This window comes from Homo sapiens, chromosome 18 (assembly GCF_000001405.40).
Source record: "Homo sapiens chromosome 18, GRCh38.p14 Primary Assembly".
In the NCBI taxonomy this organism is placed as follows: Eukaryota; Metazoa; Chordata; class Mammalia; order Primates; family Hominidae; genus Homo; species Homo sapiens.
In genome coordinates, this window is record NC_000018.10 from 56,137,570 (window position 1) to 56,161,643 (window position 24,074).

At 40.3% G+C, this 24,074-nt stretch overlaps 2 long non-coding RNA genes across 5 annotated transcripts in view; one reads left to right on the forward strand and one right to left on the reverse strand.

The window, feature by feature from the left end:
- LINC03069 (long intergenic non-protein coding RNA 3069) overlaps positions 1-24,074 on the reverse strand; it is a 187,650-nt gene that overhangs the window by 133,957 nt on the left and 29,619 nt on the right. The gene's annotated exons all lie outside the window — the stretch shown is intronic.
- On the forward strand, positions 9-12,637 carry LOC105372132 (uncharacterized). 4 transcript variants are annotated; one of them, XR_935498.4, is made up of 3 exons: positions 9-374; positions 1,033-1,146; positions 12,285-12,637. It is a non-coding gene; the product is annotated as an uncharacterized LOC105372132 (long non-coding RNA). The 4 variants fall into 4 exon arrangements; XR_007066384.1 differs by lacking the exon at positions 12,285-12,637 and adding an exon at positions 5,303-5,660 and having other exon boundaries at positions 25-374; XR_007066385.1 differs by lacking the exon at positions 12,285-12,637 and adding an exon at positions 2,219-2,465 and having other exon boundaries at positions 25-374.

Consider the following 24,074-nt stretch of genomic DNA (forward strand, 5'->3'; position numbering starts at 1 on the left):
CCTAGGCAACCTCCTCAACAGGCCATGGCAACAAGGCCACTTCACCATCCCTGCAGTGATTCCTCAGTAATTCACCACCAGAAGCACCATCACCTTCCTTCTGTGTCCCTCCACAAAGCCAGTTGGGACTTCTAGATATTTTTGAAGGCATATTGAACTAGATGGTGTTCTAGGGTACTAATTTCAAGCTGTTGTTCTCCTAACCATGCCACCATAGCAGCAATTTTATTCTGATGCATAGATTTGTATAGAGAGGGTAAGAAATTATTCCATGAAGTGATCCCTTCTCAGAATTTTAAATAAGAAATGGAAAAACTTTCTGTACTCTCAGAGTTTTCATAATTTCCCCTGGGGTAGGAGGGCAGGTGCAGAAGGTGAGTCCAACATGTTTGTATCTGATCTCGTCTCTTTCTGACCCCCTTCCCTTCCATACAATCATCTTGTACCAAGAGGGATGTGCTTTTCCTTCCTCTTTTCTGTGCAGCAATATCCTCTCTTACATCCTATTCTCTTTCCAGAAATACATTGACTCTGCTCCTTTCACTAGGGCTATGGTGGCAGAAAGGATACAGGGAAAAACACACTGACTTTTTGAGAAGAGAATAAAATCTAACCTCCTATGCACACAGCCTTTGATGAGTCAGAAACAACACACATTACACACAGACATACACACACAGATTCACACACACACAGATACACACACACATGTTAACTTCTACTAATGGGAAGAAATTTATTTATTAATTCAACACACATTTGTTGTGACTCCATGTAAGCACAGTGACTCTCATGCAAACACAGTGGTGCACAAACAGGAAGCTATTTTTAAAAATAAAGCTGTATTCTACACTTCAAGGAAAGAAATAAGTAATAAACAAAATAAATAATACTGAATATATCAAGTTATTATAAAATGCTAAAAAGAAATAAGGCCAGGTAAGACCATAGAGAATGATAGATGAATGGAAAAATGCTTTATTGGATGTGGTGACTAGGGAAGGCCTTTATCATAAGATAACATTTAAGCAGGGAACGGAACAAAGATAAAGAAACAGCCACGTGGACGTGTGGTGGAAGATCGTTTGAAGGAGGAGAAGAGCAAGTCAAAGGCCCTGAGGCAAGAGCACACTGGGCATGTTCAAGGTTGGTCATGAAAGCCACTACAGTGGGAGTGCAGGGATGAGTGGGAAGGGAGTGGGAGGTAAGATCAGAGGGACGGTGAGAGGATGGATCATAAGCTTAGATCACAAATTTGGATCTGCATGATTTGGGAAGCCACTGAAGAATTTCTAGCAGAAAGATTATACGATTTCATTTACATTTTCAAGGAAGCCATCTGGCTACTATGTTGGGAACAAATTTAGGTGGCACAAGTGTGGAAGCTGAGAGACCAGCTAGGAGGTGACTACAATATTCCAGGTGGGACAGGCTCAGACTGAGGAATTAGCTGGGAAGGAGAGAGAAATAGTAACATTCCGGGGGAATGTGAGATTTGCATATGGGGTGTAAGAAAAAGAATCACAGTTACTCTATGGTCTGGGACCTGAGCAACCAGAATTATACTGATATGAAGCCAACAGTAGGAGGAGCAATTTGGGGGTGGGGATCAGAGCTCAGTTTTGGGCAGGTTCAGGAGGCAGATCTCAACTGAAGGGAGGCCAAACAAGCAGCTGCATTCTAGAGTTCAAGGAGTAGGTCCAGGCCAGATCAGCAACTAAGACAGTAACTAGCATACAGATGACATTTAAGGCCATATACTAGGTGGGATCTCCCAGGGTGGGATTTTAGACAGAAGAGAAAACAGGGTGGATCTTGATCTCTGGAGCACTCTGATGTTTGGAGGTCATGGGTCTGAGGAGAAACTAGCAAAAGAGACAGAGCAGTTACTGGGGCAGAAGGAAAAGAGAAGAATGTTGAAATAAAGAAGTGTCCAAGGAGGAGAGACTGTGTTGAGTACAGCCTGTCAGTGGGGTGGGAGGAGGAAGAAGAACTGGCTGTTGGCCCTGGAATGTGGGAGCATTGGTGCCTGGGGAGGTCAGTGTCCACTGGGCCTTACCATGGTGGCTCATAGGAGAAAGAAGAGGAGAAAAAAGTTTTGAGAGTAAGTGAATTTTGATAGAGATAACTTTGAGCTTTACTCTTTGGCTCAGTAAGATGGGTTCCTTGGGAGGACAGAACAAAATGGAGAAACCATCTTCTCTTCCTCCCTGAAAAGGGCCTGCCCTGAACAATCGTGTACAGGGAGTACAAGTCCCTCATTCCTCTGCAGCAGCAGGAAATGGGCTCTGTCCAGGCCACTGGACTCCACTGATGTGCTGAATAAGTGGAACTCGTCTTTTTGAAATGAATGCCTCGGGTACGTCCTGTTCCCAGCTCCTTCTCCAGCACCCGCAGCCCCTCGGCTGACATTTCAGAAACACAGCCCAAGCTGAAATGGGCAGCCTGCCCATGGAAGAGATGGGGCAGAGGGAGACTGTGGCCTGTTCACACAGTTTGGTGGAAAGTGAAGACTGAAGGGGCTTGTAAGTAGCACAACTAATAAAGCTCCTATTTATCTAAACCCACATTCCACAGAGCTTCACAGATCTTAGAGACATGAGCTCATTCCTTCTTCTCGCTCTGAGGTAGTGAGTCAGGTTCCTTGAGCTTTATTTTACTTATGAATAAAATAATGTGACGAACCGAGAATCCTAGCAACCTCAGGACCATGGATTTTTCAGCATTTTCAGAGCGCTCTCTGTAGCTGAGAAGCTCACCAGGGCAAAGGAACCCCATTAGTGTATGTTTGAATAAGGGAGACAAGACAAGAATGTTTAACCAAGCAATCTAAGTCCAAATATGGAAATGGGAGACCGGACTGAGCTTTGCATAATGGGTCAGTCCCGGGTTCTGTGAGGATTTAGCCCCTTGGCCTCTCATTCTGACTCCACGTGGGGCAATTTAATTTCTCTCTGCTTCAGCTTCTTTCCCTGGACAACGGAGATCAAAATAGAACCACCTGAGGATACAGTGACATAGTACACATGGGAGACTTAGAGTAGAGCTTGGCACAGGGATGGGCATGGTGGCTCATGCCTATAATCCCAGCACTTTGGGAGGCTGAGGTGGGTGGATTGCCTGAGACTAGCCTGGCCAACATGGTGAAATCCTTTATCTACTAAAAATACAAAAATTAGCCAGGTGTGGTGGTGCACACCTGTAGTCCCAGCTACTTGGGAGGCTGAGGCAGGAGAATCACTTGAACCCAGGAGGTGGAGGTTGCAGTGAGCAGAGATCATGCCACTGCACTCCAGCCTGGGTGACAGAGTGAGACCCTCATTAAAGATATTTGTTAAAATATTTTTATTATTATCATTATAACTATTGTTATTATTATTTAAAGAGGATAAGAGAATATCAATAAAAGAATGAAAACCTTCCTGGCTCATTCAAGCTAGGGAAGAAAAGAATTTTATCTAGAAATTTGGTAACACCAAACAGAAAACTGTTGCTTTAGTTATGGTAACTCCAGCTATTTTAAGAAGTAAAGCCCAAAATTTCAGTGGCTTAACACACTAGAAGATGATTTTTTGATCACATAGTAGCACTGGGCAGGCGAGCTGATTGACAGCCCTCTTCCACACAGTGGTTCAGGGACCCAGCCTGGTGCCATTTTCAATATGAAGCTTTCAAGGCAACTCTGGATGTCATTTCTGTTCCAGAAGGGGGAAAATGCATGGAGGAGGATAAGTCGAGGCATGTGTGAGGAAGAAAGCTAATATACATCAAGCCTAGAAATGAAACATTATTTTCTCTTTCATTCCATTGAGTAGACTTCTCTCAATGTGTATCTCTCAGAATTCTGAGAATTCTCTCAGAATGCGTATCTCAACAAAGGGGGATAGATATCAAATAAGCTGTTGGATATAAGAGTCTAGAATCCAGAGAATAGGTACAGACTAGAGCTGCAAATGAGAGAACAAAACCCTGCCAACGGAAGGTGGAATGCTAGAAAATATAAACCCTGGGTCAGAAGCCACTTCCCAGCCACATGTCTATGCTGTGGAAGCAGAAGTGCAAGTGTTAAGATCCCACACATTCTGGGTGTACCTAAGCATGTAGATCAGAGGAAGATAGCTTTCTTGGTAAGAAAATTCTATATTGTCACCACTTCTCAGCCTTTTGGCTAAGATCAAGTGGAGAAAATTCCTTTTCGGGGTTCCAGGATACAAAAATTAGGGCTTCAACCTAATATGGATTGGGACTTAAATCAAAGTTAATTTGCAAAACAAAGTAATAAGGAAGTAGCTTCTTGCACTGGCCAACTGAAGCAAAAAGGAGTTGGGGGCCTGGGAGTGGGGAGAGATGGAGAGATAGCTGGTGAGACTGAAGCGGGGCAGCTATGGTGGCCTCCTGAAAATAATGGCCTTTGGAGCTTGCGAATGGAAGGGACAGTCTAGGGACTGCACACTGCTGACTTGTAGTGGCTGTGCTCTGCTCACACAGCAGTCTTTCTCTCTCCTCCCCAAGGGTAGATCTAGGCCCTGGGTGACCTGACACTTGTACAATTTGGGAGGCCCTCTGTAAGAGTACAAAATTACAAATACTAAATTTAGTCACAAAAGTGAATATTTATTTAGAACAAGAAAAAGAATCACAACAAATTACACATTTTAAAGGTGACAAATTCCACAGACATCATGAAATCCAGACAAATGACACAATATTTGTATTAAGTAATGGACTGAATCACTTCTATAATACATTTTTTTTCTACATCGTTTGGCTCATCCACCTCAATTTCCATTTCTACGGTTTTATAATACAATTTTTCTAGAGAGAAAGGATAATTTAATCATTCCTCTAGGATACTTGATTAAAATGCATTTTTATTGTTGGTAATTTTAAAATGTGTTTGTCAGATTCACAACTAGTTATTGAAAATATGATGTATATTTTTAGGATCATTTTCAAATTTAGAAAAATTTTTATCAAGTTTCTTGTATGAGCTGTTATAGACGTAATTCCTATCTATAGAACTACTACATGCTTATTCCCTACAAGCACAAGGATTGTAATATAGTCTATTCTGCACAATTCCCATTGAGAAAAGAAGAAAAAATTACAGTGCATTTATAATTTTAGGTGCTGAAAAATTGAGTACAGTTCTGAAAGATCACTTCTGTTTTGATCAGTCATCAATGAGAACTGAATCCTCCACTTCCAATTACGCATATCTGGTCATTTGAAGATATCACACAAACTAGCTTCTGGCTTCATACTCTTTATTGTTTTTCTTTTGTCGACCATATCTTTGCAGCATCGGGTGCTATGGGATACCTGCATTTCACTGTACAACCTTGGACTCTCCCTCCCTCCATGAGCAATAGGAGAACTCCTAGGAACAAGTCTAACACTAGGACTTCCAGCAATCTTGAGACTAAAGCCAGAGGTCACGTGAACTACATAAACTAAATTCCTCCAAATACAAACCAAGCTTCCCACCCCAACTCTCCTTAGCTGAAAGGGTGCTCACAGGTACTCCAACACCTCCTGAAGTGTGTTGGAAGTGTGCCCAAGTGGAAAGCATCAATATACTTCATCAATTGCTAAGAAGATATCATATTGTAATGTTATTAGTAATTCAATTATTAAAATGTATTAGTGTTACTTCATTTAAAAATATGACTATGGGTGGGGCGCAGTGGCTCATGCCTGTAATCCCAGCACTTTGGGAGGCCGAGGCAGGTGGATCACGAGGTCAGGAGATCAAGACCATCCTGGCTAATATGGTGAAACCCCGTCTCTACTAAAAATACAAAAAATTAGCTGGGCATGGTGGCGGGCACCTGTAGTCCCAGCTACTAGGGAGGCTGAGGCAGGAGAATGGCATGAACCCGGGAGGCAGAGGTTGCAGTGAGCCGAGATCGTACCACTGCACTCCAGCCTGGGCAACACAGCAAGACTCCGTCTCAAAAAAAAAAAAAAATATGACTATGGGTGTACCTTGCCTTGACAGAGCTAAGTAGGTGAGGGGTTCCCAGAGCACAAGTGTCATTGGCTTCCTGGTAAAACACTTCTGGTTAACTCCACACTCTCAAATGAAGGGGCATTCAGCACACAGCCTTAGTTAGCACTTTCTTGTTTTGTTGGTTCCCCAGGGCTGCTGTAATAAGTTGTCATAAACTGGGGGGCTTAAAATGACAGAAATCAATTATCCTATTGTTTTGGAAGCTAGAAGTCCAAAACCAAGATATCCTCGGGGTCCTGCTCCTTTTGATGACTCTAGGGAAGAATCCTGGCTTGACTCTTCCAGCTTCTGGTGGCTCCTGGCAATCACTGGCATTCCTGGGTTTGCAGCTGCCTCACTGCAATCTCTCCCTCTGCCTTCATATGGCCTCCTTCTCTGTGTTTCTGTGTGTCCTTTGCTGTCTTATTTAAGGAAATCCAGAGTGAATTTAGGCTCACCCTAATCCAGTATGATCTCAACTCAATCCTTACCTTAATTACATTTGTAGAGATGCTATTTCCAAATAGCATCAAATTCTGAGGTTTTGGGTGTAACACAATTTTTTTTGGGGGGGGCATTATTCAACCTCTTCTAGTTGGGAAGTGAGATGGGAGAATTGACCTCGGTGGCAGGCTGGGGAGAGTTAAAGCTGTACACACAGAAGGGAACACTCCCAGATATCAAAACTGAAGATTGAGGCTCAGAAGTGACCCTAGAGCATTAAGTGTACCTTGCAAGTCTTGGGCATGGTGCTGAACTTCCCAGTCACTGGCAGGGGTATTGACATTGAAGCCTGGAGGACTTGATAGCCTGTGCGTGGCTGGCACCCTGGGCTACCATTCAGTTGCATGGGTGTGTATATTATGAGTCCTATCTGAAATCTGGCTCTGTCCACACTTATCATATCTTTTCTGTTGAACCAGTTCAACCTGCCATCTCCGGAATTTACAGACATGATACAAGACATTTTGTACATCTGAACAAGCTGCACAAAAGACCATTGTCTTTGCTTAGGCCTGTCTGCCCTTGGATCCATTCTTCTCCTGTCTTCTAGGGAGGCATGGGAAGGCTGATCTTTGAAGACTTGGTGATATGTTTAGGCTTTGTGTCCCCACCCAAATCTCATCTTGAATTGTAATCCCCATAATCCCTACATGTCAAGGGAGAGACCAAGTGGAGGTAATTGAACAATGGGGGCAGTTTCTCCCATGCTGTATTTGTGATAGTGAGTGAGTTCTCCCAAGATCTGATGGTCTTATAAGGGGCTCTCCTCCTTCGCCCAGCACTTCTCCTTCCTGCCACCTTGGGAACAAGGTGCCTTGCTTCCTCTTCACCTTCTTCCATGATTGTAAGTTTCCTGAGGCCTCCCCAGCCATGCTGAACTGTGAGTCAATTAAACCTCTTTCCTTTATAAATTACTTAGTCTTGGGCAGTTCTTTATACCAGTATGAAAATGGACTCTTTATCCAGGCTCCATGTGAGAGAGCTCCCAGCTTCCAGGGGGAAGCACTGGTGGGGAATTATAAGGTGGGAGGGCGAAAGGGAGAAGTCAGAAGTCAGAGTATGTCCCTACCATTCCCCAACTTCATGCAGTGACTCTGATCACAGATGTGTCTCCATCTTGACCCCAGATCCACAGACAGGCCTATCTGGTCAAGCTCCACTGATAGGTCCAGCCCCTGGGATCTTCTTTTCTCCTCTAGCCATGGGGTGGTAGGGGCTTCCTGCTGTTGTTAATCCCTCATTCCCCACCAGCACTCCTCGGCTCTTCTGTCACTCCAGTAACCAATTCTCGCATTAAAATCCCTCAATTTTTTTTTTTTCAAGATGGAGTCTCGCTCTGTCACCCAGGCTGGAGTGCAGTGGCGTGATCTCGGCTCACTGCAAGCTCTGCCTCCCAAGTTCACGCCATTCTCCTGCCTCAGCCTGCCGAGTAGCTGGGACTACAGGCACCCACCACCACGCCTGGCTATTTTTTTTGTATTTTTAGTAGAGACAGGGTTTCACCGTGTTAGCCAGGATAGTCTCGATCTCCTGACCTCGTGATCTGCCCGCTTCGGCCTCCCAAAGTGCTGGGTAAAATCCCTCAGTTTTATGCACTGAGATTGGATCCTGTTTCCCTGGCTGAAGCCTAACTAATCGAACTACAAATGTTAAAAGAGGGAATGAAATTTTAATTAATATAAATCATTTTATCGGTTACATTAATAAACAGTTTAAGTCAGTATATTAGTTCATGTTGACAGATATATGCTAACACATATATACATACATGTATGTATGTACGTATATATGCATGCATGCCTGCATGTATCTATGTATGCATGCATGTATGTATGTTTTTGAAGAAAAAAAGGAGGAAGCGGGTTAACTTCCGATGAGAAATAATTGCCGATTTCACTTTTGAGAACTCAATAACTTGTCATATTGATTTCATAAAGGTTAACAATTATGATTTATGAAGAAAACACTTGATTGTTAATCAATTATCCACCATAAAGGATGGTGGCTGATTGGGACCGTGCAGATCAATCCAGCACCAAGAGCATCCTTTCTGTGACAAGTGACCATGGGGCTGGCCGCTAAAGGTGTAGTTTGTCAGAGTTACTCCAAGGTAAAAACTCAGGGCTTTTAAGTACCAAGTTCTTCTTTTCATGTATCATCAAAATATACAATTGATGAAATTTTCCTCTCATTGACTCTTGTGTGTCACATCTTGGTCTGGTTGTCACTCCTCAGCAAACTGCTATCCCCAGTACGTATGGTTTGCAGGGTTTACCCTGACAAAACTATGTGGAAGTCTCAGCTCCTCATCAATGTCCTGGCCTGTCTCCTGCTATCTCCCTGGGGCTTTTCCAGAGCCTTCCTTTCTTTCCTCCTTTTCTAGGCTTCAGTCTGCTGCCTTGGCCTTGATCTTCCATCTGTAGGGGAAGATCTCATCAATAATGTTAATATGACTTAATGCCTCCTTTCCCAGAACTATTGACATGCTTTTTGTGTTTCCAGACAAACAACAACAAAGCAAACAAGCAAGCAAAAAAACTCTAAAGCAAAGGAGATCCAAAAGGAAAATTCCAAATGCCTTGGCATCTGGGTAGGGCAATATTTTGCAGCAAGAAGTCTCTATCATCTCTGAGTCACCATTCATAGGAAACAGCTCAGCCCCTTCGGTAAAAGAACCTAGCCCTTCCCAAACTGAAATGCTAATAACTTCAGCATTTAAAAAACACAGTGTGGTATAGACACTGATATCTCACACCAGTTAAGGATTCATCATTCCTGACACCAGATGGTATTTGAGACATGGGATTCCCCCATCTTGCTCCTTTAGTACTATTCTTTCTTGCAAACAAAAAGCTTTTTAAATGGTGAGTAATTTGTAAAGCATAAATTGGATCATAAATGGATATTTATTTTTACGTAAATCTTGGCAAACTGAGGCAGCTACTTTACAGAGGTGATTAAAATTTAAAAGGCAGCATTGCAAGAAGAAGATAATAAAGGGTCATTATTTACAATGACCATATTTACAATAAAATGCTAAATTTATTTTAATAAATACTAATTTTATATTTATGAACAGTCATTCATAGACAAGACAATAAAAACTTTCATTCCTGCTTACTGGATTTTTCTGTACAGCATATAAATCAAATCCTTCATTCAACACTGCATTCATACTTTGAGCTTGCTATGTTTTATCAGAGTAGTCAAGTCTGTTGTTTCTTAAATCTGTTTTCTTTATAATAAATGACTATTGATTTGGTTAGCACTCAGCTCCAAATAGAGCAGAATAATGCTAATAGTCCAAGAAAGAGAGGAAAATGAGAGAGTATTTTATCAGCATGTTTCAGAATCACAGGTAAAAACCATGGTGGTTAGCAATTTCTTTGTACAGTAACCACTTACAAAGACCTTGAATAAGCGGCTGTTAATAGGAGAATCTAAGTCACCACATTTTCTTCAAGTTCTGACTTTGGGTGACTTCTTTTTTAATTTAGCAAGTTTTTTTACTTGATTATTTTTTTAATAACCTTAACTGATGACAAAGGGAAAGTTTTCCTTTAGGAAAAATTGTTGTGTGGTTGGAAATGTTCCAAAGTTCTGTCCCATTCTTTCTTAAAATAAGGCCTATCCTAATTTTAATCCCAGAGACAATCTTGTCAACGTAGGTTTAAAGAGTTTTTTAAAAACTCACTAGTTTGAACCAATGAGAAAAGTCAATATATGCTGAGATATTATGCCTAGTGTTTCAAGTATTCAGTCAAGAATTATTTGTTGAGCACTCATTATGCACCAGCATAACTATATAACAACATAGCTCGGCCCTAGTTTCTACAGTTAGAACAAGTTGTCAGGAAGGTGGCCTGTCCCTAGGAAATAGCGGAGGACAAAGCCAAGTCAGCAAGCATTTACTGAAGTGCTTAATAGACAATGCAAAAGAATATTTATATCTGTAGACTTAAAGAATGGGTAGGAATAATCAAGACACCAAAAAGCAAACTCTTTCTGATGGGAAGTGGGTAAAGGCAATGGAACTTTGATGCACTTGACCAGAACTCCTGTTTTAACAACTTCTGATTATCGGAACACAGTTGGACCTTAAAGTTAACTCTGTAAACTGAATGAGAATCACGTGGTCCTTAGGGATGAACCTAGGATGCCTGACTCCTGTCTTGTGCTTTCTCTAGCATCAAAAAAACACAGTTTATGAACTGTCACAACCAAATATGAGATAGTACCAATAAACCATGAACTCCTTACCTCAACTTAACTGTTTTCATGGCTAAACAATGACTAAACCTTAGATCTATCCACATTTCAAGAAGACACTATGAATATATCCTTGAAATTAAGCTCAAGCAGGGTTTGTTTCTGAAAAGGCACCATGAATCCAAAGTGTATTAGGCTGTGGCTCCCAATGACTCACATCTCCCAGTAGTCAAGCCCTGTGTGGTCCCCTCCCACATTGACTCTGACTTTGGCCAATGGGGTATTAGCAAACACAATGTCTACAGAAGATGGGTAAGTGTTTGCTCATCACCACTTGCCCTCTTGGAATGCTCATTCTTGGAATCCAGCTGCCAAATAAGGAGGCCAAAACTAGCCATGCTCATGTGGAGAGAGGGAGGGGGAAGAGAGAGAGAGAAAGGGAGAATGAGTATGAAAGAAAGGTTCTAACATTCTAGTCATCTTCTCCAAGGCCACAGATGTATGAGCAGAGTTATCTGGGATATTCCAACTCCAGAAGCCTTCTGACTACAACCATATAAGGGACACTATGTTAGGACCAGCAGAAGAATCACCTTGTTGAGCTTCAGCCAGCTCACAAGGTCATGAGAAAAGGCTATTATTTTAAGTCATCGAAAATTTTATTTTAATCACCAAGATTTGGGGTAGTTGTCACATAGTAACAAATACCTGAAACATCAAGGGACCTTGAATAAATGTGAAGAAGGAGAAGAGGAAGAAGAAGGAAGAGGGGAAGAAGAAGGAAGAGGAGAAGAAAAAGGAAGAGGAGAAGAAAAAGGAGGAAGAGAAGCAGGAGGAAAGGGGAATAGGAGAAGGAAAAAACAAAATTTAGTTCCATACATCTAAAGGTTTATACCCAACAAACAAGTAAACACAGCTTGCTGAGAGATTTTCAGATATTAACAATTTCCTTGGTTTATATTTAACTTTTTAAATTAATTATATTGTTACTGCCCAGTATATGTCTTTACAGATAGGAAATTCCAGAATCAGCCTTCCAGTGGAAAATTCACCCATGCAGATGATCAACTGTGAAATCTGTGTGCAACTTTGTGAAAGAAAATCAAATTTAGAATCAACGGCAGGGCTTTTGGACGTAACTATTCCATCTCAAGGCCCATATTAACTGAAAATTGCTCTGGTGGAGTTATAAGCTGACATCTGCAAAGAATTTTCAGCAACGACTGTTATCTAACACCTGCCTCTCCAATTAAGGATACTGACCTTTTTGAAGTTTTAAGGAAGGGTGGTTTTTTAAATTTGTTTCTCTTTGGTTATTTTAAAATTGATCTTTATATCGTCCTTGGACATCCAACCCTAAATCACAGAGTACACGCTCTCAATTTAATCACATTGAGATGAGTCAAGTAGTCAAGGAAAGGTTGTCAGAAATAGCTTACAAAGAAAGGCCTGGGGTAATGAAGTGTAGGCGAACTAAGAAGCTATCTGAAAGTTGTGCTCCCCTTGGCTTGTTAGCAAATCCTCTACAGTTTCTCTTCTTAATAGAGAACTAACGATGCCTCATGTCTGTATTTCTCAGGGGATTCTGGGAGTTGGAAGAGGCCAACTTTTCCTACCTGCAGTTTGAAGATTAAGGACTTAGAGATTTGTTGAGAGGCTGCTTCCGAGAGGTTACTGATACACTGAGGACAGGAACTACTGACTACTCTGAATGAGGGAAAAACATCCAGTTTGGGGTGATCCTGTTTTGCAATGGCAGCTGTCAGCCATAACATGGTGGGAAATAACGGTAAATAAACCTCCTGTGATTGGCAAGAATATAAAAAAAGGTCGTGAATTGTGAATTCTTAGGTCTACTTGAGAGAAGACATATTTAGAAAAACATCAAATCATTAAACAACCTGCTTTTGAATAAAATCTAAATGAACCAAACTCTTTAGCAAATGTCCATTTTGAAAATTTAGCTTTTTGGTTAATTGTATATTTATAAGTTATATTAGCTTCCTATTCTGCTGTCACAAATCACCACAAAGTGAGTGCCTTAAAAGAACACGAATTTACTATCTTATAGTCTGAAGGTCAGAAGTCCAGAATGGATCTTACGGGGCTAGAATCAAGGTGCTAGCAGGACTGGTTTCTTCAGGAAACTCTAGAAGATAATCTGTTTCTTGCTTTGTCCCACTTCCAAAGGCTACTGGCCTTGGTTTGTGGCCCCATCACGCCCACCTCTGCTTCTTGTCATTATATTACCTTGTCTTCTGATTCTGACACCTCCTGTATCCCTTTTATAAGGACCCTTGTGATTACATCAGGCCCAACTGACTAATCCAGAATAATCTCCCCACTCAAAATCCTTAACACATTTGCAAAGTCCCATTTGTCATGTAAAATAACACTTATGATTCTAGGGTTTAGGATGTGGGACATCTTTGGGGAGCTCTTATTCAGCCTATGAAACAAGTCAACTCTTCCTTTTTTAGCCATGTGGTTCTAAATCTTTCTGATTAAATAATTCAACTTTCCTGACTCATGAATTAAGTACTATGTTGCAAAATATGGAGTCTTTTTTGTCATCCAAGGATTTCCATTGCCCAGAGTGATTAATTTGAACAGTGAGTTTTCACTGTGGAGTATTAAAGATGCAAATGGTGCAAAGCTGTGCTCTAACCAGGAAGGAAAAGCCTCCGATGGCAGGGACAACCTCAGAAGAGAGTGGCCTATGGCAGAGAGCTGCCTAGTGCTGTCTTCCAGTGGGAAGGAAAACTTGGGGCCCAGAAAGCAGGGCTGGGCTTGTCTGGGAGGGGTGTCATCATGGGGAGATTCACTCTTGTAAAATTTCCTCTCAGTTCCACCAAAGCACATCCTAAGACAGACTGCATCCAGAGTAATCACAAGATGTTAGGTGAGGCTTTAAAAATCATGATGTCTAGGCCTCTCACTTTGCTGATGAGGAAACTCAGTTCTGGAGAAGTGAGGAGACTTTCTCAGGGTTTCTAAGCAGGACTGGCAGAGCCAGGACTGGAACCCAGCTCTCCCACCTTGCCACACCATGTTCTTTGCATTCCATGATGGTACTGTCTACATAAAAGAGGAACATATCATTCAGCCAAGACCCAGGGACTCAAGATTCTTATATTCTGATCTTTGATTATGAAAGATTAAAGATTCAAATTTCCTATACCATTTCCTTTAAGTACATGCTGCAGTTTACCTAAAACTGTTCTGCTCACAGCCTGAAAGCAAGGGTCAGTCGTATGGCCAGTGTCTCTTCCCTTCAGACTTAATGAGGGTGGGAGGATGGACACCTTCACTGTCCCATTTTTGTTTTCTTTTGTAGTTATTGCAGCTCAAGAGACCAAGGGAATGCTGACTATTTGACTTGGAGGTTTCAGGAGTCAAATGTGCTTTGATCAGTGTGATACCTTATCTCCAGACATGCAGTTTCACACAATCATCAAATTAATTATCAGGGATTCCAGCTTTTCCTATTGAATCTTCACCAAATTTTAGTGGCTCAATCCCTGCAGGTTGCAATGTCCAGCTCTTCAGCAGTGAGTAAAGACCATCCAGTGGAGAAAGAAGGAAAAATGTAGTTAGTGTTCTAATTGATAGAGCATTTACTTCCTCTGGCCTGGTTCACCTAAACATACTTGTAGTCAGAAACTCATCACTCCCCTAACTAATCCACATATCTATTTGCCAGGCACCTTTTGTACAGCACTCTTAAATCCCAAGAGCTTTTGTGATGGGGATGCTTTTTAAGGAATCCGTCAAGAATTGGAGAGGGGTCTTAATGCTTCCAAAGTCAGCAGCCCATTGTTGAAGACGATTGAAGAGTCCCATCCCACATTCCTGACTTCCATATGCATTCTGACAGTGACATTATTCATGCCAAGGTGAGGTCAGTGGCCGCACACCCCCAGCCATGGCAGTAGAGAGTGGCATTAACTTTGAACTTCACCCTCCCAGCTCAGAGCCAGGGCTACCCTGAAAGCTGTATCTCAGAAGGCTGCACAAAGCGGCAGGTGTTTAAAGAAGCAAAGAGGCAAAGCATGTTGTTAGGAAAAATTGTCCCCAAGCCCTGAATTGGCCTTTTATCACCATCACTCTGGCTTAAAAACCCCTGTAATGTGTGGCTTTCAAAAAGGGGGAGCTAAGTTTAGTGGCTGATGCCCTGCCAAGAGCTTTATAATGCATAGAATAAAAAAAGATGAAACGTTTCTCCAGCTACATTGCTTTCCCCCCCCACCCTGATTCCCTTCCCTGGGGGGAGAATCATAAACACAGACAGCAGAATGACGCCCCTTTATTATTCCTCTGAGCTCTTTCTCTGCAGATGACCTATAGAAGTGATTTAACATAGAACTGTTGGAGTTCCCACACTTCCGCGTGTTCCTCCGGCCGAGGCTGGTTGATTTCTTTGGGGTGTTATAACTATGACCTGCTCCATTAAGTAGCAAACAAAGTCCAGCTGGATATATCAAGCTCAGCTGGACTCTTTGCTTTCACACAACCTGCTTGATTAGGAGAATCGCTGTGCCCTTGTCACACGGCGCCTCGTGCAGTCTGCAAAGATTGGGCTGCCATTGATTTCTGCATAATATGGATTCACACTGCCTTTCCACAACAGCGTGGCTTTCACACCCCACAATAACCTGGCAAGGATTGTTTTTTCTTTCCAATCTTCTGCTGCTTCAGACTTACACTGGAGTTTAGTTCTAAAAATTTGTCCCTCCTAGAGGTAATGTGTGGCTTATTACCCAGCACTTTACGACGCATTAATTGCAGCTTGATTTAGACATTTCCCATTTGGTGACTTAGTTACAATTGTACAAACATGTCATGCTCTAAGTCAATAACGTGGGGGCAGAAAAAGAGCAAAACAACTGTGAATGCCTTGTTCTTCTCATGGGAAGGACCAGGGCAATTGTTACAGTAACATGATGCTATTTGTTTACTGGGAAGGGGTGTTTATCTAGCTCCTTTCCTTAGAGTTGTTATTCACCCTGGACCAGTTGTCTTCAGTAGCCTTACCTTTCATTTCTACGCCTATTTCCTTGTTAGAGAAAAACCCACAAAGCTTAAAAATTAGTTCAGCAAGGTAGAGAAGTTTTATTAAACACGCCAAGATATTTCACATAATATGCCAATCAAGGGGACAAAATATGGCATTTGGTTAGCCAACTCTTACCTTGATTCCATTATGATTTTAATTTAAGGCACCTTTCTTACATGATTAAGGAAGAATGAGTCAGAGTCATTTCAGTGTTATGTACATAGTGATTATTAGTGCCTATAATGAAAAATTGAAAAATAACATAAACTACTGGAATATCCACTGTAGAAATCCAACAATGAAGTTGTAATAAATAAATTATGGCTTATTCATACTGTGGAACAATATTCAGTCATTAAAATGATTTAAAATTATATTTTATTAGATGTTATATTATTTAGTGAGAAAAGTTACAGAACAAGTTTATATTATAATGCCATCCTTTCCCTGAACAACAACAAAAAAATACTCTAAAGCCGAAGGTGGTGGTACACACCTATAGTCCCAGCTATTCAGAAGGCTGAGGTGAAGGCAGAAATAAAGATGTTCTTTGAAACCAATGAGAACAAAGACACAACATACCAGAATGTCTGGGACACATTTAAAGCAGTGTGTAGAGGAAAATTTATAGCACTAAATGCCCACAAGAGAAAGCAGGAAAGATCTAAAATTGACAACCTAACATCACAATTAAAAGAACTAGAGAAGCAAGAGCAAACAAATTCAAAAGCTAGCGGAAGGCAAGAAATAACCAAGATCAGAGCAGAACTGAAGGAGATAGAGACACAAAAAGCCCTTCAAAAAATCAATGAATCCAGGAGCTGGTTTTTTGAAAAGATCAACAAAATTGATAGACTGCTAGCAAGACTAATAAAGAAGAAAAGAGAGAAGAATCAAATAGATGCAATAAAAAATGATAAAGGGGATATCACCACCGATCCCACAGAAATACAAATTACCATCAGAGAATACTATAAACACCTCTATGCAAATAAACTAGAAAATCTAGAAGAAATGGATAAATTCCTGGACACATACACCCTCCCAAGACTAAACCAGGAAGAAGTTGAATCCCTGAATAGACCAATAACAGGCTCTGAAATTGAGGCAAAAATTAATAGCCTAACAACCAAAAAAAGTCCAGGACCAGATGGATTCACAGCCGAATTCTACCAGAGGTACAAGGAGGAGCTGGTACCGTTCCTTCCGAAACTATTCCAATCAATAGAAAAAGAGGGAATCCTCCCTAACTCATTTTATGAGGCCAGCATCATGCTGATACCAAAGCCTGGCAGAGACACAACAAAAAAAGAGAATTTTAGACCAACATCCCTGATGAACATCGATGCAAAAATCCTCAGTAAAATACTGGCAAACCAAATCCAGCAGCACATCAAAAAGCTTATCCACCATGATCAAGTGGGCTTCATCCCTGGGATGCAAGGCTGGTTCAACATACGCAAATCAATAAACATAATCCAGCATACAAACAGAACCAATGACAAAAACCACATGATTATCTCAATAGATGCAGAGAAGGCCTTTGACAAAATTCAACAACCCTTCATGCTAAAAACTCTCAATAAATTAGGTCTTGATGGGACGTATCTAAAAATAATAAGAGCTACTTATGAGAAACCCACAGCCAATATCATACTGAATGGGCAAAAACTGGAAGCATTCCCTTTGAAAATGGCACAAGACAGGGATGCCCTCTCTCACCACTCCTATTCAACATAGTATTGGAAGTTCTGGCCAGGGCAATCCGGCAGGAGAAAGCAAGAAAGGATATTCAATTAGGAAAAGAGGAAGTCAAATTGTCCCTGTTTGCAGATGACATCATTGTATATCTAGAAAACCCCATCGTCTCAGCCCAAAATCTCCTTAAGCTGATAAGTAACTTCAGCAAAGTCTCAGGATACAAAATCAATGTGCAAAAATCACAAGCATTCTTATACACCAATAGCAGACAAACAGCCAAATCATGAGTGAACTCCCATTCACAATTGCTTCAAAGAGAATAAAATACCTAGGAATCCAACTTACAAGGGATGTGAAGGACCTCTTCAAGGAGAACTACAAACCACTGCTCAGCGAAATAAAAGAGGACACAAACAAATGGAAGAACATTCCATGCTCATGGATAGGAAGAATCAATATCATGAAAATGGCCACACTGCTCAAAGTAATTTAGAGATTCAATGCCATCCCCATAAACCTACCAATGACTTTCTTCACAAAATTGGAAAAACTACTTTAAAGTTCATATGGAACCAAAAAAGAGCCCTCATTGCCAAGTCAATCCTAAACCAAAAGAACAAAGCTGGAGGCATCATGCTACCTGGCTTCAAACTATACTACAAGGCCACAGTAACCAAAACAGCATGGTACTGGTACCAAAACAGACATATAGAACAATGGAACAGAACAGAGCCCTCAGAAATAATACCACACATCTACAACCATCTGATCTTTGACAAACCTGACAAAAACAAGAAATGGGGAAAGGATTCCCTATTTAATAAATGGTGCTGGGAAAACTGGCTAGCCATATGTAGAAAGCTGAAACTGGATCCCTTCTTTACACCTTATACAAAAATTAATTCAAGATGGATTGAAGACTTAAATGTTAGACCTAAAACCATAAAAACCCTAGAAGAAAACCTAGGCAATACCATTCAGGACATAGGCATGGGCAAGGACTTCATGACTAAAACACCAAAAGCAATGGCAACAAAAGCCAAAATTGAGAAAAGGGATCTAATGAAACTAAAGAGCTTCTGCACAGCAAAAGAAACTACCATCAGAGTGAACAGGCAACCTACAGAATGGGAGAAAATTTTTGCAATCTACTCATCTGACAAAGGGCTAATATCCAGAGTCTACAAGAAACTCAAATAAATTTACAAGAAAAAAACAAACAACCCCATCAAAAAGTGGGTGAAGGATATAAACAGACACTTCTCAAAAGAAGACATTTATGCAGCCAGCAGACACATGAAAAAATGCTCATCATCACTGGCCATCAGAGAAATGCAAATCAAAACCACGATGAGATATCATCTCACACCAGTTAGAATGGCGATCATTAAAAAGTCAGGAAACAACAGGTGCTGGAGAGGATGTGGAGAAATAGGAACACTTTTACACTGTTGGTGGGACTGTAAACTAGTTCAACCATTGTGGAAGACAGTGTGGCAATTCCTCAAGGATCTAGAACTAGAAATACCATTTGACCCAGCCATCCCAATACTGGGTATATACCCAAAGGATTATAAATCATGCTGCTATCAAGACATATGCACACGTATGTTTGTTGCGGCACTATTCACAATAGCAAAGACTCGGAACCAACACAAATGTCCATCAATGATAGACTGGATTAAGAAAATGTGGCACATATACACCATGGAATACTATGTAGCCATAAAAAAGGATGAGTTCATGTCCTTTGTAGGGCCATGGATGAAGCTGGAAACCATAATTCTCAGGAAACTATCACAAGGACAAAAAACCAAACACCACATCTTCTCACTCATAGGTGGGAATTGAACAATGAGAACACTTGGACACAGGAAGGGGACCATCACACACAGATGCCTGTCGTGGGGTGGGGGGAGAGGGGAGGGATAGCATTAGGAGATATACCTAATGTAAATGACTAGTTAATGGGTGCAGCACACCAACATGGCACATGTATACATATGTAACAAATCTGCATGTTATGCACATGTACCCTAGAACTTAAAGAATAAAATAAATAAATAAATAAATAAATTTCAAAAAAAAGAAGGCTGAGGCAGAAGGGTTGCTTCAGCCAGGAGTTTGAGTCCAGCCTGAGCAACATAGCAGGACTCTATCTGTAAAAAATAAAAATAAAAACAAATAAAATAAAATAAAAACTCTAAATATGCATGTTTTCCAGAAATATATATCAAAAGAGTTTTAGGAAAGTGTATTCCAAAATGTTGCTAAATGTTATCTCTGAGTGAAGAAACCATTAATATTACTTTTAGTAGCTTGAACTGTATAAAATTGCTAAAAGTCTACCACTTTGCCCTCAAAAATGTCATTGTCACATAGTTAAATGTAATTTGTTTCATTGTACTTCTCTGCATTGTATTTTTTAAATCAGTTTTTACTCTTATAATAAGGAAAGTTCGAGGATATCAGGACTCTTTGGTTTAAAATGGCAGAAATCCAACTGAAACTTATTTAAATGAGAAAAGAATGTATGGGCTCTCATAATGAGAAATCTGAAGGATAGAGCTTCAGGTACAGCAGGATCTAGGGACTTATTAATGTTACCAGTGATTAGGGACTTATTAATGTCATCAGTAATTTATTTCTGGAAACTGTCTTTTTCTATCCCTTCTTTTGGCTCCACTTTCTCTATGTTGGCTTCATTCCCCCAAAAGCCTCTCTCCATATGGCTGCAAAGATGTGCCCCCTGCAGTTCTAGCCTCACAAGTGCTTTAGGGTTTAAGAACTCAGAAGAAGCAGGGCTCTCTCATTTCTATCTGTATTGATCAATCCAAAAATTTCTGACCTGACCTCTTTGAGTCATGTGCTCACTTCTGTGGGAGTTGTCAATAGCAGACATCAATAAATTTTTTTTTAATGAATAAGTACCTAATCTCCATAGATTAAACAATTTTGTTTAATGAATAAAAATACCAATCTCCATAGATTCACCTACATTTGACCAACCCACACACCATTTGAAAAAGTAAGAAGGTGTCCTGAGTCCGCTGGAGATTGTCAGGGCTTAACACGCCTGTGCAAGATGATGGTGTTTAGCGGGAATTCACCTGAAACTGTTGATCTGTAAACTTCCAATGTTTGTCTGACTAGTTTTGTTCACTACCTGTCTTCTCTTGAGGAAAGTGGTACCACCAATACTAGAAATTATATTTTGTTATTGTTAATGTTTTAGTGTATACTTTTTGCTTTTAAAGACGTGATCTAGCTAGCAATTTGATAATTATGCAATACTGCTAAATAATAATCCTTGTTCTACGCAGAGAGGTACCAAAATAGATACTCAAATCCTCACAGTGTATAACACATCTACACATTCTGAATAATACAGCTCATTTTAGTCATTAAAAACAATTATAACAATGTTTATGCCAGAATGCTAATAAAGTCTCCAAAACAACAGATTTGAATTGTGCTTTTTCTTTTATTTCCTCATCCATATTTTGAGAGGTCTAAGTGAAAGGAAGGTAGGTATCAGAGAGAAAGAGAGAGAAGAACAGAGGGAGAAAGGAAGAAAAGAAAGAAGGAATGAAGAAAAGGAGAGAGAAAAGGAACGAGGGGAAGAAGGAGAGATAGATGAAGAGAAGCAAAATGAAATCACAATAAGAAGACAAGATGATTCTATGTAATTAAATAATTAAACCTCACTCACCAAGATTTCCCTGAATTGATACATTCCACATTGTCTACAGAGGCTGTCTAAATATTTACATATCTTCAGAAGTTTTTCTAGAAAAAGCAGTTGATACACTAGATTTAGAAGACCAAAAGGAATCTAACTTGTTGGAATGAATAGCATGAATAGCATGAATAAGGCTGGAATTACCCAGGAAGTAAACTACCTAAACCAAATGAGAGGTACTGAGCAGGGACCAATGGGAAAATGAGGCAAAATTGTGTGGGAGGATAAACAGCCTGTCTTGAAGACCATAGTGGGAATTGTGAGCTCAAGAAGACTTTTAAGGAATAAAGTAATAGCATCAGAGATTACTTCTTTAGAGGCAGTAAGAATTAACTGTACATAGGGAAGTCATCAACAAATTGAGTAAAAATTCGGTCATCGTACGTGCTCACTCATAAGTGGGAGCTAAGCTATGGTGATGCAAATTCATAAGGATGACACAATGCACTTTGGGGCCTCACGGGAAAGGGTGGGAAGGAGGTGAGGGATAAAAGACTACAAATTGGGTGCAGTGTATACTGCTTGGGTGATGGGTGCACCAAAATCTCACAAACCACTAAAGAATTTACTCATGGGCAGGTGCGGTGGCTCATGCCTGTAATCCCAGCACTTTGGGAGGTCGAGGACAGAGGGTCACCTGAGGTCAGGAGTTCGAGACCATCCTGGCCAACGTGGTGAAGCACCGTCTCTACTAAAAATACAAAAATTAGCCAGGCGCGGTGGCGGGTGCCTGTAATCCCAGCTACTCAGGATGCTGAGACAGGAGAATCGCTTGAACCTGGGAGGCAGAGATTGCAGTGAGCCGAGATCACAGAACTGCACTCCAGCCTGGGTGACAAGAGCAAGACTCCAACCAAAAAAAAAAAAAAAACTTATTCAGGTAACCAAACCAAATACTACCTGCTCCCCAATAACCTATGGAAATAAAAACATTTTAAAAAGTTGACTGTGATGGCAGAGTTGGGGACATGTAGTAAGTAGTATGGGCAAAGGTGAAAGGACCAGATAGTTTAAAATAGAATAGATATTGAACTTTGTAAACTGAATCTTAAGGAAAATACATATTGCAAAGTAATACAGAAACAACTGGACTGTTTCAAAACCTGGAGCACAATGGACCAGTAGTTCAACCAGTTTTCTCTTTCCGGTTGTAAGTTGCTTGGTGTTTCACAGGAAGACAATGGGCACCTAGCAGGAAATGTTGAAGAAGCAACGCCATGTTTGCATCATTCCCTTCTGAACATACACTGAAATGAAGACTGACTTAAAGACGTGGTGACACGTTTGTGCTATTTGTCTTCTGATGATGTAAATTCTCCCTCGGAGCTTTACCCTAGTTTGCCAATAGGAGCCATTTTGATTGTGAGTTCTGTCAGTTCCTGTTGGTTTCTGACAACTGTAGGTTGTATGGGACTTCATATAAACCCCTGTGCCTTCCCATATTTTGAGTGAGTAAGTCCAGAAATAAATAGGAGGCAACGTAAAAACCTGAGGTGAAAGAATAACTGGGAAATTTAATAAAGAAGAAATGACACGTTCCATTTGAGACTGAAATTGCTTTATCAGAACAAAATCCGATAACATTGAAGCCCGCAGCCTTCAATGCTAACAGTGCCTAACTTCCTTAGATAGGAAGAAATCTACTATCTATTCTGAGCTGGAGTGTTAAAAGAGTTCTATTCATTAAAAAACAAAGCAAAACAAACCAAAACAACTATTTGTCTTAAGGCAACAAATCATTTGATGCCAAAAAACTTTAAAAGGAGTGTTTTTTTTCTCTTAAACTTTATTAAAATTATTTTTTACATCACAAACCTGAATGCTGTTCATTGAGCAAGTATTCTGACCATCCCTTTTAGATTCCCTGGTTTGCAGCTAAATCAATATTTTCTTGAAATGAAAATATAAGTTGAATTCTCCAGAGATCAAAAGTATTCTGAGGAAAAATACCTGTTGTAATTGCAACTCACTAGTCTGATGCCAAAATCAATGGTAGTAACTTTTCTCAGGGCAGGATTCCATTTAGCATGGAGTTACCCTGTCTTCTTTCCAAGAGTAGATGAGGCTCATTTAATCCATGATCAAGGCCAGCTACTATGCAAGGAACAATAAGATTTTACATTAGGCATTTATAGTTTACTAAGTTCTTCACACCCTTGCTGTCATTTATTCAGTAAAATAATGCTATAAATGCCTTGAAAGAGGAAAAACATGGCATAATCTTTTGAACATCACCACAGCAGAGCCCAGTGCATGGATGACATTCAAAAAATATTTGCTGACTCAATCAAGTAAATATTACTAGCCCCACTTTAGAGGTGAGGATATTAAGATCTAGAGAAAATAAGGAGCGCGTCCAAGATCTTATAACAAGTGAAAGGCAGAACCAAGAATCATCCAGCTGTTCTGACTTCAAATTTTAGTATTTTCTTAGTAGAATATGCTGCTCCAAGATTTCCTACACCATCGATTTTGCTGCCTAAGATGAGATGCAAAGATTCATATTCAATTCTATAGAAATAGGTAATATGGTAAACTAATCAGTCTTTTTGAAGACTGTGAGGCTACATTAATGAAAAATGTAAAATAGTCTCCATAGATTCACCTACATTTGACCAACCCACACACCATTTAATTTTAGACTTATTTGATAGGAGTACAATTGATGTTAAGAGTTGATTAATAAGGTGAGATTCTTACAGAGTTTTTGAGAAACACTTTTCTTGAAGAGATGATGGCTATTATTGGGATCCTGACCCATAGAGTACCACTTTCCAGCTTTGCAGGAATAATAAATCCATATTGTTTGGTTTCAGGAAGCTCTATCTCTGCTACAAAATATGCTGCATCATATTTTTAAGGTTTGTTTC